The sequence below is a fragment of the Homo sapiens genome, chromosome 4, assembly GCF_000001405.40.
Source record: "Homo sapiens chromosome 4, GRCh38.p14 Primary Assembly".
NCBI lineage: Eukaryota > Metazoa > Chordata > Mammalia > Primates > Hominidae > Homo > Homo sapiens.
Window position 1 is genome coordinate 78,483,891 of NC_000004.12, and position 13,718 is coordinate 78,497,608.

The 13,718-nt window shown below is 37.2% G+C and overlaps 1 protein-coding gene across 1 annotated transcript in view; it reads left to right on the forward strand.

Annotated features, from left to right (window-relative positions):
• FRAS1 (Fraser extracellular matrix complex subunit 1) overlaps positions 1 to 13,718 on the forward strand; it is a 486,947-nt gene that overhangs the window by 426,568 nt on the left and 46,661 nt on the right. The window contains exons 59-60 of the mRNA NM_025074.7: positions 4,985 to 5,190; positions 12,915 to 13,071. Coding sequence (NP_079350.5) covers positions 4,985 to 5,190; positions 12,915 to 13,071 — 363 coding nt within the window. The remainder of the gene's footprint in view (positions 1 to 4,984; positions 5,191 to 12,914; positions 13,072 to 13,718) is intronic.

The window sequence follows — 13,718 nt, forward strand, 5'->3', positions numbered from 1 at the left end:
AGGTTTATGAAGGTGCAACTTGCATAAATGAAAGTCCATCGTCCTTAGTGTACAGTTCTATGAGTTTTGACAAATGTATACAGTGATATGCTCACTACCACAATCAAGATGTTGAACAGTTCCAACACTCTGCAAAATTATCTCATGTGCCTTTGTCGTCTGTGTCTCCTTAGTCACCAGCCCTGAAAACCACTAATCTGTTTTCTGGCCCTAAAGTTGTGCCTTTTCCAAAATTTCATAAAAATGGAATCATATAATATCTATGATTTTGCATCTGGTTTCTTTCACTAGAAAATGCATTTGAGACTCATTCATGTTATTGCATATGTGAGTAGTTCATTCCATTTATTGAGATTAGCTTTTCATTGTATGGATTTACCACCATTTGTTTACTCACCTATTGAATGACATTTGGGTTGTTCAAGGTTTTGGTGTTTAAATTGCGTTGTTTTCCTACTTGTATTGCATTGTTGTAGATTCTGGACAGAGATTTATATTTTGCAAATATTTTATCCAAGTCTGTTTTTTGTCTTTTTGTTCTGTAAACAAACATCCTAAGAGTAATCATTTTTCATTTTGAAGCAGCCTCATTTATCATTTTTCTATTATGGATCATATTTTTAGTGTTGTATCTAAGAAATCTTTGCCTAACCCAAGGTAACAAAGATGTTCTCCTATTTTCCTACAGAAGTTTTATAGCCTTAAGTTTTACATTTAGGTTTGTGATTCACAAAACGGTAACTTTTACACCATGAACAAGATTATGACACTTATATTATCTCATGTTGCATGTTACTTCCAAGTTTACAAAGCAATCCATTAAGCCTTATCTCACTTGCTCATAACCCCGTGCTCTTTCTTCTGTTTCTATTTAGTGGATAAGGAAACTGAGAATCAGAGGAAATAGGTCACCCAATGTCTAGTATCTAGAGGAACCAGCATGCATTCTAGGACTTTTGACCCCAAGTTCATCCTCCTTGCATTATATACTACATGGTTTTAATTGGTGTAGAAGTAGAATCAGTGGCAATTTTATTTCTTAGTAAAGAGGAAGATAAAACAGAAAGAAGAAAATTCAGCTATACGTTTTATTCTTGAAATTGTTTCTTATTCTTTTGCATGAAATGACCATTAATTTCCCTCTGATGAAGTGGAAAGTGAATACAAAGTTGAAGTCCTGAAATATAATCCTAGCCCCACCACTTCCTAGGTCTTTGGCCTTAGGCCAGAAGCTTAAGGTTACTAAGCCTCATTTTGCTCATCTATAAATAATGAAAATAACTACCTTACAAGATTGTTGTGAGGATTAAATTAGATAAAATATGTGAAAATGCCTGCTGTAATACCTGGCACACAGTAAATTTTATTACATGTTGATTTCTTTTCTTCCTGACACACCTGGCATTTATCACTCTTACCAACAAGACTCCAGTAACATATAGAGTCCTCACTGATCAACACACAAAATTATATTTAAATATTTTTCAGTATTTTATTGATGAGCATTGGGTTTGTCAACTTAGGAAACTGATATGTTAAGCAAAAATTTTCTTTCAGAAAAGCTACAGCTTTTCTTTTTCTTTCAGAGAAGCTACAGCAATATGTGTTTAATCAATAACTTATCCCAGAGAAAGAAATCCCAAAACCTATTTCAGTAACTCAGCATAGCATTCAGTACTTACTTCTTCTGGTTATCTTTCTTCCTAGTAATAACGAACTTTTGTTGAGTCCATTCAGTGTGAACATTCTAGGGTAGAAAGATCTTACATATTATCCCTAATCCTTGCAACAGACCTTTAACTTGTGAAACCAAGTTTGAATAATTTGAGTAGGATTACACAGAGAGAAAGTGATGAAGCTGGAATTAAAATCCAAGTCTGCTCTATCCAAGTCCAGTCTTCTGGTTTCATATCCTACTACGCTGACTCTTCACATTTCAGTTTCAGCTGGCCACTGCCCTCTGTATAACAATGCTAACCGTCACTCAAGAGTCTTACAAAGTCAACTCTCAGCCTTCTGCAGTGATCTTAGCTCCTTTCATTCTTTTCCCACTAGGCTGATTTCAGGATCTTAAATCATCTAAGCAGCTCATCTTATAACATTTACCTGTTCTCACCTACCTTTGCTGTGCTGGTACCTGGAATTAGACTCGGGCTTGGGCATGAGTAATGCTGACTGGGTAGCATTAGAAAGTCCTGTAGCTGCTACGGTATCACCCTCCTGTGTGTGCATCTGTGGCAAACATACTCATTAACTCGTGAAACAGAGGCAGGATTTCTCCTAAATTTCTGGCTTAACTGTTGCTGGTAAAGAGGCTATTGCATTCCAGGCACTGGCGTTTACATTCACTTCATCAGTTACTAAGAAGATTAGCGAGGTAACAGTGTTTATAGGACATTTTCTATACCTAGCACTGGTGATCAACATGGTATGGGCTACAGAGTAGTGGAGAGCAGAGTCCCATAATCTATTTTAGGATACAAGACTTCCATAAATAAAAAGATAATTGTAGACTGGCCATGCACAATAAGTGTTCTATGAGCAGTGCTGACAGAAAATGCGTTATACCCAATGTGAGCCCATGCGCCATCAGCAGGTAACCTCCATTTCATATTGATGCAGCCCATCAGTGTGGAAAAAGAGGAGCCCTGCAGTCAGGGGAAGTTGATTCTAAGAGCCAGTGCTATCACTTCCTGGGGATTATACTGCCTTATGGGGTTGGTGACAGAATGACATTAAATAATATATATGAAAACCTTTAACACAATGCCTGACTTACAACATAAATCCCCTGTGCTAAATCTCTTCCTGAAACTCCCTTGTTGTATATGTCTCTTGCCTCAGTCTCCCACTGGTCTGGGGTCTTCTTAAAGGGAGGGATTGTTTCTGGGCAGGCAATCAGAAGATGTGTCCACTGCCTTTTCTCTTTCTCTCTCTCTATTTTTTTTTTTTTTTTTTTTGGCAGACAGGGATAGAAGTGAGAGTGAATGTCTTGTTAAAGAGGGAAAAAATAGTCTTTTATACCTCAAGAGGAATTTGGAGTTGATTAATGCATGACCAAACCTAAACATAACCACTTCAGCCTTTAACTTTCTCATCTGACTTGAGGCCTGTCAGGCCAGCAAGAAAAAACAATCTAAAGCTTCAGATATCTGCTGGGAGCGGAAAAGCTTCCCTGCTTGTATTGCTTTTTCCCTGGCAACAAGCTTCCTTCTTGTCCTCCTATGCTGGGCGATGTCATTGCCATCCACCTTTTAGCAGCACAGGCCATTTCACTGGGTTACGGAGCCCTAACTGGTTAGGCCTACAGTTGTTAATTTTCCTTTAGGTATAGTGTTCTTTTAAGCAGTATCATCTGACTTTTCATTTAGTAATGATTAGTAACTATTAAGCTTAGTTCATATGATGGGATGGTTTTATTTTTGCCATGGCCAACAGTTCTGGAGTCACAGAGAGCTTTCTGTACATTGACTTGGAGAATGCTTGGGTGCTTATCACCCCTCCTCTCATTCCCCCACGTCCCCCAATCCCCAAACACACACCTTTCCTTCCTTTCTGGGTTGGTGGGGTGTGTCCAGGAGGCAGCCAGGAAATTGGTGATTACAGCTTTAACCCAAAGACTAATTCTGACCCAGGAGGCTTTGACATATGATTCTTTGCATTGTTCGTGAATAAATTAATAACCAGCAGTCAACAAAATGTTGACCTCAGAAGGGCAAATGCCTTAATACAGAGCAAATGATTCTTCATATTGAGAATTCTGGAGTTGGGAGGAAAATAGAAACCATAATATATTAATTCCTACCAAACTTTGAGTTCTCACTATAAACCAGATACTACATTGAGTACCATGCATTTATTATCTCATTAAATTCAATTATACCAACAATTCTATATTAGATATTAATATTTCCAATTTATATATGAAAAATATCCCAAAGTTTGGAAAGTCTAAGTAACTTGCCCTGTGTCACACAACTGGTAAGTAGAAGGGCTGAGATGGAAATTCAGGTCTGTTTCCTCCTAAGTCCTTGTTTTTAACCATGATTTGACTACGGTCTCATCCTTAAGTCAAAGGAGGATTTGAGTTATAAAAGAAGAGGCATCTAGCGCCTACCTGTAGTCCCAGCTACTTGGGAGGCTGAGGCAGGAAAATTGCTTGAACCCGGGAGGTAGAGGTTGCAGTGAGCTGAGATTGTGCCACTGCACTCCAGCCTGAGTGACAGAGCGAGACTCCGTCTCAAAAAAAAAGAAGAGTCATCTATAGCAGTGGTCACAGACTGGAACCCTCTGGCCAAATTTAGTCTGTGGACATGCTTTGTTTGTCCCAAATAGTTTTGGCTTATACAAAATTTCTTTTCACTATTTTATTTGTTTGCTATTTTTGAATTCAGGAGCTATGTCATAAAAAACCACATCTCTGGCTTCATTTGAAAATAAGATCTGGCAACAGAAGACTGGAACTTTTTAAACAGGGCCTACTCTTTCCTTTATACTTATGTCCCCACTCTTTCCTATTGTCTCTCTGGCCCCAAGACCAATGTGAGTGGCCATTTAGCACCAGATTTGCACTGCTGTTTTCCTTACTGTAGCCCTAGGAGGACAGTGAAGTCTTTTGAGTACCCAAATAATGACCAAAATTTTTCGTACACCATCAAAATTTTTCTTACAATTATCCCATTTATTGACTTGCATTACCTGCTCATATTTGAGATGGTGACAGCATTTTGAAGTTGTACAAAGATAGGTACAAAATTGATCTGTTCTATTTCACTGGATGCACACTTATAGTAGAAGCAGTTCCCTTGTCCTGAGAGCAACAACCATGCTTTGGAATCTGCTTGCCACCTGTGATTTGTCAGCCTACCTTGGGCTTTGGTGGAGCTCACCTGCCAAAATAGCTGCTGAAGGCTGACAAGGACCATGGCCACAGCTTCCCTGTCTTCCACTAATGGTGCGTCTGTCTTTCTGTCTGCCCACCTAGTGCCCAGCATGCAGTTTGCCAAGGATTTGCTCCTAGTGAAGGAGAAGGAGGGTGTCCTGCATGTCCCTATCACTCGGAGCGGAGACCTGAGCTATGAGTCATCAGTGAGGTGCTATACTCAGAGCCATTCCGCTCAGGTCATGGAGGACTTTGAGGAGAGACAAAATGCAGACTCTTCACGGATTACATTTCTCAAAGGGGACAAAGTAAGTGGATTGGTGGTGGCTGAAAGATGAGATTCTCTTATTGTCTTTATTTGTCTGTAATGAAGTCATTTATATAAATTCCAAAAATTCTCAGAATTTTGTATACTACAGGTGACCCTTGAACAATGCAGGGGATAGGGGTGCCAACTCCCCACACAGTTGAAAATTTGTGTATAACTTTTGACTCACACAAAACTTAACTACTAATAACCTACTGTTGACTGAAAGCCTTACCAATAACATAAGTAGTTGATTATCACATATTTTATGTGTCATATGTATCACATGCTGCATTCTCACAATAAAATAAACTAGAGAAAAAATGTTATTAAGAAGTGGAATAGTGGATCATCATAAAGGTCTTCATCCTCATTGTCTTCATATTGAATAAGCTGAAGAGAAGGAGGGAGAGGAGGGTCTCACTGTCTCAGGAGTAGAGAGACAGAAAAAAATCCATGTCTAAGTGCACCCATGCAGTTTGAACCTGTGTCATTCAAGGGTTATCCATAATTGACAATATTTTTAATGATGTCATCTATTCCTTCTTTGTCTCCCACTTACAATCAAATACACATATCATTGGTTGATCTGAGAAGTTTAGCTGATGTGTGACATATTTGGAACTTAGCAGAAGCAAATGAGTTCTGCTCTTATTACCACCTCTTAATCTCAAACTATGTTAGAGATGAATATACTCCACTGTTACTTTGAGAGCAGGAGGCAGCCGTCTAATACCTGCACCCCTGTCCCAGGGAAACATATATCCCAGTATAGGACCAAATAGGCAGATGTTGAGCAAATTGAAGTCAGCAGAGTATTCTCTTGACAATGTACATGAAATCTCATGCATATGCACCTAGAAACTCACCACTAAAGCTAGTGGAAAACAAAAAAAAAAAAAAAAAAAGAAAAGCAGGGGTTGAAATCCTAGTCTCTGATAAAACAGACTTTAAACCAGCAAAGATCAGAGAAGACAAAGAAGGGTATATTACATAATGGTAAAGGGATCAATGCAACAACATGAGCTAACTTTCCTAAATATATATGCACCCAATACAGGAACACCCAGATTCACAAAGTTCTTAGAGACCTACAAAGAGACTTAGACTCCAACAAAATAATAGTGGGAGACTTTAACACCCCACTGTCAATATTAGACAGATCAATGAGACAGAAAATTAACAAGGTTATTTGGGACTTGAACTCAGCTCTGGACCAAGCAGACCTAATAGACATCTACAGAGCTCTCCACCCAAAATCAACAGAATATACATTCTTCTCAGCACCATATGGCACTTATTCTAAAGTTGACCACATATTTGGAAGTAAAGCACTCCTCAGCAAATGCAAAAGAACAGAAATCATAACAAACAGTCTCTCAGACCACAGTGCAACAAATTAGAGCTCAGGATTAAGAAACTCACTCAAAACCACACAACTACATGGAAACTGAACAACCTGCTCCTGAATGACTACTGGGTAAATAACAAAATTAAGGCAGAAATAAATAAGTTCTTTGAAACCAATGAGAACAAACACAACATACCAGAATCCCTGGAACACAGCTAAAGCAATGTTTAGAGGGAAATTTATAGCACTAAATGCCCACAGGAGAAAGTGGGAAAGGTCTAAAATCGACACCATAACATCACAATTAAAAGAACTAGAGAAGCAAGAGCAAACAAATTCAAAAGCTATCAGAAGACAAGAAATAATTAGGATCAGAACAGAACTGAAGGAGATAGAGACAGGAAAAATCCTTCAAAAAAATCAGTGAATCCAGGAGCTGGTTTTTTTTTTAAAGATTAACCAAATAGATAGACCATTATCCAGACTAATAAAGAAGAAAAGAGAGAATAATCAAATAGACACAATAAAAATTGATAAAGGGGATATCACCACTGATCCCACAGAAATACAAACTACCATCAAAGAATACTATAAACACCTCTATGCAAATAAACTAGAAAATCTGGAAGAAATGGATAAATGCCTGGACACATACGCCCTCTCAAGACTAAACCGGGAAGAATTTGAATCCCTGAATAGACCAGTAACAAGTTCTGAAATTGAGGCAGTAATTAATAGCCTACCAACCAAAAAAAGCCCAGGACCAGACGGATTCACAGCCGAATTCTACCAGAGGTACAAAGAGGAGCTGGTACCATTACTTCTGAAACTATTCCAAACAATAGAAAAAGAGGGACTCCTTCCTAATTCATTTTATGAGGCCAGCATCATCCTGATATTTAACTGTGGCAGAAATGCAACAAAAAAAAATTCAGGCCAATATCTCTGATGAACATCAATGCGAAAATACTCAATAAAATACTGGCAAACTGAATCCAGCAGCACATCAAAAAGTTTATCCACCACGATCAAGTTGGCTGCATCCCTGGGATGCAAGGCTAGTTCAACATACGCAAATCAATAAACATAATCCATCACATAAACAGAACCAATGACAAAACCCACATGATTATCTAATAGATGCAGAAAAGGCCTTCGACAAACTTTAACAGCCCTTCATGATAAAAACTCTCAATAAACTAGGTATTGATGGAACATATCTCAAAATAACAAGAGCTATTTATGACAAACCCACAGCCAATATCATATTGAATGGCAAAAGCTGGAAGTATTCCCTTTGAAAACCTGCACAAGACAAAGATGCCCTCTCTCACCACTCCTGTTCAACATAGTATTAAACGTTCTGGCTAGGGCAAACAGGCAAGAGAAAGAAATAAACGTTTATTCAAATAGGAAGAGAGGAAGTCAAATTGTCTCTGTTTGCAGATGACATAATTGTATATTTAGAAAACCCCATTGTCTCAGCCCCAAATCTCCTTAAGCTGATAAGGAACTTCAGCAAAGTTTCAGGATACAAAATCAATGTGCAAAAATCACAAGCATTCCTATACAACTATAATAAACAGAGAGCCAAATCATGAGTGAACTCCCATTCACAATTGCTACAAAGAGAATAAAATACCTAAGAATACAACTTACAAGGGACATGAAGGACCTCTTCAAGGAGAACTACAAACCACTGCTCAAGGAAATAAGAGAGGACACAAATGGAAAAATATTCCATGCTCATGGATAAGAAAAATCAATATCATGAAAATGGCCATACTGCCCAAAGTAATTTATAGATTCCTTGCTATCCCCATCAAGCTACCTTTGACATTCTTCACAGAATTAGAAAAAACTACTTTAAATTTCATATGGAACCATAAAAGAGCCATATAGCCAAGACAATCCTAAGCAAAAAGAACAAAGCTGGGGGCATCACACTACCTGACTTCAAACTATACTACAAGTCTGCAGTAATCAAAACAGCATGGTAGTGGTACCAAAAGAGATATATAGACCAATGGAACAGAACAGAGGCCTCAGAAATAATGTCACACATCTACAACCATCTGATTTTTTGACAAACCTGACAAAAATAAGCAATGGGGAAAGGATTTCCTACTTAATAAATGGTGTTGGGAAAACTAGCTAGCCATATGCAGAAAACTGAAACTGGACCCCTTCCTTACACCTTATACAAAAATTAACTCAGGATGGATTGAAGACTTAAACGTGAGACCTAAAACCATAAAAATCCTAGAAGTAAACATAGGCAATACCATTCAGGACAAGGACAAGGCAAGGACACGGGCAAGGACTTCATGACTAAAACACCAAAAGCAATGGCAACGAAAGCCAAAATTGACAAATGGGATCTAATTGAACTAAAGAGCTTCTGCACAGCAAAAGAAACTATCATCAGAGTGAACAGGCAACCTACAGAATGGGAGAAAATCTTTGCAATCTATCCATCTGACAAAGGGCTAATATCCAGAATCTATAAGAAACTTAAACAAATTTACAAGGAAAAAACAACCCCATCAAAAAGTAGGCAAAGGATATGAACAGACACTTCTCAAAAGAAGACATTTATGCAGCCAACAAACAAATGAAGAAAAGCTCATCATCACTGGTTGTTAGAGAAATGCAAATCAAAACCACAATGAGATACCATCTCATGCCAGTTAGAATGGTGATTATTAAAATGTCAGGAAACAACAGATTCTGGAGAGGATGTGGAGAAATAGGAACACTTTTACACTGTTGGTGGGAGTGTAAATTAGTTCAACCATTGTGGAAGACAGGATGGTGATTCCTCAAGGATCTAGAACCAGAAATACGATTTGGCCTAGCAATCCCATTACTGGGTATATACCCAAAGAATTATAAATCTTTCTATTATAAAGACACATGCACATGTATATTTATTGCAGCACTATTCACAATAGCAAAGACTTGGAACCAACCCAAATGCCCATCAATGATAGACTGGATAAAGAAACTGTGGCACACATACACCATGGAGTATTATGCAGCTATAAAAAAAAAGATGAGTTCATTCCTTTGCAGGGACACGGATGAAGCTGGAAACCATCATTCTCAGCAAACTAACACAGAAACAGAAAACCAAACACTGAATATTCTGACTCATAAGTGGGAGTTGAACAATGAGAACACATGGACCCAGGGAGGGGAACATCACACACCGGGGCCTGTCTGGGTGGTGGGGGGCTAGGGGAGGGATAGCATTAGGAGGAATACCCAATTTAAATGACGGGTTGATGGGTGCAGCAAACCACCATGACACATGTATACCTATGTGACAAACCTGCATGTTCTGCACATGTATCCCAGAACTTAAAGTATAATAATAATAAAAAAAAGAAACTCACCACTAAACATGGCTGCACCAGAATTAGTCTGCAACCTCAGTGTATGTCAAAAGTGTGTATTGAATCAGAATCACATTTTCCCCATTTTAAAATCTCAGTTTCAGATGGTTGAGTCAGTTATATCCCTTGGTTCAAGGCACACATCCTCATTGGTCAATACTAAGCCCTTCTCTTATGTTTGTTTTTTTTTATTCATTTTGTTTTACCCCTACTCTCCAGCCACATTCTTTTCCCTGCTCATCAATCTATTGTGTTTAATATGTATCTCTTAACTTGTATTTCTTCTTAAGAAATGCTTGTTGTTTTATGTATACAGTTTTAATTTCTAAAAATGCTATTGTCCTCTTTTTTTCATCTTTTACTGTTTTTACTCAGCAATGTTTTGAGATCTATGTTTTTTAGGTGTACATGTAATCTGTTGCTTCTAACTGTTGCATAATATTTTATGGTATATGTCTTAGTCGATTTGCATTGCTATAAAGGAATACCTGAGGCTGGGTAGTTCATAAAGAAAAGGGGTTTATTTGGCTCACAGTTCTGCAGGCTGTACAAGAAACATGGTGCCAGCATCTGCTTCTGGTGAGGGCTTCAGGAAGCTACCACTCAAGGCAGAAGAGGAAGGGGAGCAGGCATCATCACATGGCAAGAGAGGAGGAAAGAGAGAGGGTAGGGAGGTGTCAGACTCTTATTAACTACCTTATCTCATGGGATTTAAGAGAGAATTCATTCAATCCTGTGAGAATGGCACCAAGCCATTCATGAGAGAACTGTCCCCATCACCCAAACATCTTCCACCAGGCCCCACTTCCAATAATTGGGGATCAAATTTCAACAGGAGATATGGAGGGGACAAATATTTATCAGTATGTGTCTGCTATATTTTACCTATGCACTCTCAGCAAGAGACAGTGAAGAACTTCAGTGATCACACCCACCAGCTTCCTGACTCCCTGTCATCACAAATAATGCTTCAGTGCACATCCTCATACATGTCCACTTACAGACTTGAATGAGAATTTTGTTGGATATACAATCAGTTTATCAAAATCAATTTTGATAAACTACAGGACCTGCATATACCTAATTTGAAAAACTTGTGTTGGAATACTTTACAGAATGTCACTAGAAGTGCATGAGGGTTGCTATAACCCTATATTCTCTTCAAAACGAGCATTATTCATCTTTTGAATTTTTGCTAATTTAATATGTATAAAGTTATATCTCATTTTAATTTGTAATTCTCTAATTACTAATCTTTCATATGCTTGCTAGCTTATTGGGTTTCCAATAAGCATATAAGCTTATTTTTATCCTTTGTTTCTTATTTTATTGTGTTATCTTTTACTCACTGATTTGCAATGCTTTCTTATATTTCCCAAATATTAATTCCTTGCCAGTTTTAGACATTTTAGGTATTAATAACATCTTTTCTTTTTCTGTCACTTATTTATTACCATTGAGTATGGTGTTCTTGATCAGAAGCCTTCAATTTTGAAATAATCAAATGTATCCAGTTTTTGCCTTATGATTAGTCCTTTTGAAGTTTAGCATAAAACATACCCATCACACATCACCCTAGATTCTTCCTCTGTTCATCTTTACTACAAAAATAAAAGTGATAGCTTCCTTCTTTGGGGCACTCATGACATTTACACATTTATGACTCATAAAAGCCTGTCTTAGTTATATATTTTATGGGAATTTTACTGGTGACAGGTTGAAATGTGCTTTAAAACACATACATGTACTACAGATACCATCTTCAGCTTTGAGTCTACATGTCTGTATTTGTTTTAAGTTCAAAAGAGAATTCTCTGCTTATCCAAGAAGTAGTTTTTAATTTAATAAAATTATAAAGAAAATACAGTCTAGTAGTCTGTGTTACCCACATGGCAATCTATCATTATTCTTAAGCACATTTTAGAACCTTTATTATTATTATTATTTTGCTTGCTAAGCATATGCTTTGAAACTTGTCATTCACTAACATTTTTTTTAAGATCTAAAAAGTCACTGCTAACTTCATGCTTTCTATAAGGAATTCTTATACAAAAGATGTGGTAGAGGAAAAAAAACACAACATTCTTCAGGGACTTAAAATCAGATTAGCAAGTCACATATAAATATTCACAGGGATATTCTCTCACCATTTAGCGTGACTTAGGAAGTATGAGAGTGAAACTTCTCTCTACTCATATATCCTTTGCAATATGTTAGAATAGTGAATTTGAAATGATCCAACTAAAAATATCCTCCTTCACATCACATGACTCTACTATTGAGGCTGCTGTGTTATCTGAAATGTTGTGACCATATTTTACATTTTCTCAAAAATACAATCCTCAGTAGAGAATATTCTGTTGAGAAACACTTGGTTTCTTTCCATCAAACAGGGATTTGGATTGTGGTCTCGGACTTTCTGTACTCAGCAGTTTTCAGATGAGATATCATTTGGCAGCAGATTCGAAAATTCTTTAGCATTTAAAGGTATCTTTAGCCTAACGCAAAGCCTTTCTGATTTCTTTATAAGACTTCAATTTTTACAAAGGAAAAGAAGTGTTACTCAACTCTCCAGGAAGTTTAATCAGTATGTTAAACCCCCGTCATCAGAAATCTACCTATTTTAATATGTGAAATGTATTAAGCAGCACAGAAAAAAATGTGGGAAAGCACACAGATGTTCTACATATGGTTTTTAGTGGGTTCTTTGTTTTGTTGATCTTGTTTTTCATAATTCATCACCAATAATTAAAAATGGTTTGGCATATTCTAATACAAGTCTCCACATATAGGTGGGTCCCACCCAAGCATGAACTGTTAAATTTGAACATTTTGTTTTATAAATGAAACTGGATCCTTTTGAATTTGTGTGGACTTTTTGATGCAATAAAGAAGAAAGATAGTTTTCTAGGAAAACCAAGCAAATCACTGATATCTTGCTGAAAATTTTAATCTGTCTTGTGCCATTGGCTCTAGGTGAAGAACTGTACGGTCTATATCCACGATGACTCCATGTTTGAGCCAGAGGAACAGTTCAGGGTCTACCTCGGCCTTCCTCTTGGAAACCACTGGAGTGGAGCTAGAATTGGAAAGAATAACATGGCCACCATCACCATATCCAATGATGAAGATGGTAACAGAAGAAATTATCTTTAGTTACTCTTAGGTTGAGGGGACATAAACTGATGTTTAACTAATTATTAGTGTTTTGAAAAATAAAAGTGCTTTAAGAATGCCTACTGATAACATTCTCTGAATATTTATATAAAATGTTGGTGGCAAATGATCTCCCTCTACAGAGATCCAAAAAATTCATAGGTATTTTTAATATCATTGTTCCCTACCACAGTGCTAGGAGATATGGACTGATTGTGGTCAAAAGCTGAGACAGAAATGCTAAGACAGAGAATAAAAGCCATTTAAGTCACTGTAGTTCAGGAGCAGGATTGGAAATACAGTTGGAATCAGTGGAATCCAATGAACTGGTTTAAAACACTGCCACCTTCCTGGAAAAGTCTAATTTCTCAGTTTTCTTCTCTCTAATTGATTTGGCCTACTAACCTAAAAAAAAAAAAACTTAAGCTCTATAGTCAGGTGTTAGCCAAGAATGACCCAGGCACCAGGGAAGACAAAACCTGTTTCAAACTGGGACATAATTGTTTCACTAAAATAGATATTTTAATGAGTGAATAGATAATAATGTTACAAATAGTGATAGCTCTTTTTATTGAATACTGTATACCAAGAACTATGCTAAGCATATTATATTATCTTATTTAA